Here is a 2,443-nt window from a genome sequence, read left to right on the forward strand (position 1 = left end):
AATATCGTTAGGCTGGCTTAGCCAAAATCTTACCCTTGATGTTTTACCTCTTAGTAATTTTCAATCCACTGACCACACCCTGCTCCTTGGCTATAAATGCCCACTTGCCTATGCTGTGTTCCGGGGTTGAAACCAATCTCTGTCCCCCACTACGAGACCTTATTGCAGTGGTCCTGAACAATGTCTTCCTTACTGTGCTTTAACACGTGTCACTAAATAAGTTTTTGTTTAACAACTTCCCCCTGGTTGTTTAACATTTACCAGCACACATCTGTCTGAGTAGTATTGTTCTAAGGCAGTTTTGCATCCTCTGAGTCTGGCATTGGTTTAAAGCTGACTCTATCATAAGGAATTTTGTAATGCCTTTAGAGACCTGACCTACCACTGATGGGTAATCCTTCACATTCAGTTCCCTTCATCTGGGAGAAAGGAATTTTTTTTTTTTTTTTTTTTTTTTTGAGATGCAGTTTTGCTCTTGTTGCCCAGGCTGGAGTGCAGTGGGCGTGATCTCAGCTCACTGCAACCTCCGCCTCCTGGGTCCTGCCTCAGCCTCCCCGGTAGCTGGGATTACAAGCATAGGCCACCATGCCCGGCTAATTTTGCCTTTTCAGTGGAGAAGGGGTTTCTCCATGTTGTTCAGGCTGGTTTTGACCTCCCGACCTCAGGTGATCCGCCTGCCTCAGCCTCCCAAAGTGCTGGGATTACAGGTTGAGCCACCGTGCCTGGCCAGAGTTTTGCTCTTTTTGCCCAGGCTGGAGTGCAATGGCATGATCCCGGCTCACTGTAACCTCTGCCTCCTGGATTCAAGCAATTCTCCTGCCTTAGCCTCCCAAGTAGCTGGGATTTACAGGCATGCACCACCACGTCCGGCTAATTTTTTGTATCTTTTTTAAACAGAGACAGGGTTTCACTATGTTGGTCAGGCTGGTCTCGAACTCCTGACCTCAGGTAATCCACCCACTTTGGCCTCCCAAAGTGCTGGGATTACAGGCGTGAGCCACCTTGCCCAGCCTCAAAGATTCTTTATTTCATCCTTGGAATACAGAACGCAAAGTCCATCTCCATTTTCTCTACTGAGGGCTGTTCACCTTTCAATCTGTCCTATCAACAGGATTTAACCAGGCTGGTTCTCACTTGAGTATATCTCCTATGCAGCTTGTAAGGAATACTTGTTGGCTGAATAAATCCTGGCAGTGCACACTGATCATTCTCTTTGCTCTACCATCACACCATTTATGATCAGAGCCAATCATAGTTTCTTATCCATTAGGTTTCTCAGGTGTGAATCAGATACCAGTCTTCTGTGTCCCTAAATGCAGAAGACATGTCAAGCCTTCAAGAGATTCTACTGAAACCCCTTTCACTAGACTTGACTGGGGGAGAGAGACAAGTCACAGCTTACCAGCAGCCCACCTGAAGATTTCTCTAAATAAATCATCACAAAAATCCCCTGCACATCTCTCCTCTTTCAAACATTTAATGTCCTCAGTATAGATGATGGCTGTTGGTCATCTTGTGTTTAAATTCCTGTAGGGTGGTTGATCTCACAGTTAATTACAGTATATGATACCTATTGTTTCTTGGTGCCTTATTCAGAACTTTCAATTTAACATAATAGAATATCTTTATAAATTCAGACAAGGAGAGACTTTTTTTGGGGCGAGGGTGTGGGGACAGAGTCTCACTCTGTCACCCAGGCTGTAGAGAAGTGGCACAATCTCAGCTCACTGCAACCTCTGCCTCCCAGGCTCAAGCAATTCTCCTGCCTCAGCCTCCCAAGTAGCTGGGACTACAGAAGCATGCCACCACACCTGGCTAATTTTTTGTATTTTTTTTTTTGTAGAGAAGGGGTTTCACCATGTTAGGGTGGTCTCGATCTCCTGACCTCATGATCCACCTGCCTTGGCCTCCCAAAGTGCTGGGATTACAGGCATGAGCCACCGTGCCCAGCCAAGGAGAGACTTCTTAAACAAGATACAAAATCATCATACACACACCAGTCAAGATTGAATAATTGCACACAAATCATGTGGTAATATGACGCCCTCCTGGGGCAGGCCTACGCCACGACAGACAATTCATTTTTTTACATTAATATTTATTAACAACAAAAAAATTAATAAATTGCACAACGTGAAAATTAAGAACTTCTGTTTATCCAAAGACACCATTCTCTTTCCCAATTAGAAGAAGATACTTAAAACACATATAACTAGGAAAAGACTAAAACCCAGAATATATAAAGAATACCTAGCCAGGTGCCGTAGCTCATGCCTGTAATCCCAGCACTTTGAAGGCCAAGGCAGGTGGACTGCTTGAGCCCAGGAGTTCCAGACCAGCCTAGGCAACACTGTAAGATCCCATCTCTACACAAATTATAACAAATTAACCGGGCATAGTGATGCATAACTGTAGTCCCAGCTACTTGGGAGGCTGAGGTGGG

At 44.9% G+C, this 2,443-nt stretch overlaps 1 annotated feature.

Moving 5' to 3' along the window:
- Positions 1,623-1,792: an enhancer, noted in NCBI's record as "experimental_110264 CRE fragment used in MPRA reporter constructs". NCBI's record gives its function as "activates a minimal promoter by MPRAs in K562 erythroleukemia cells, with activity observed for both the introgressed and non-introgressed 9:97298741 variant alleles {active_cell/tissue: K562}" and the evidence as "EXISTENCE:reporter gene assay evidence [ECO:0000049][PMID:34662402]".

This window comes from Homo sapiens, chromosome 9, assembly GCF_000001405.40.
Source record: "Homo sapiens chromosome 9, GRCh38.p14 Primary Assembly".
Taxonomy (NCBI): domain Eukaryota; kingdom Metazoa; phylum Chordata; class Mammalia; order Primates; family Hominidae; genus Homo; species Homo sapiens.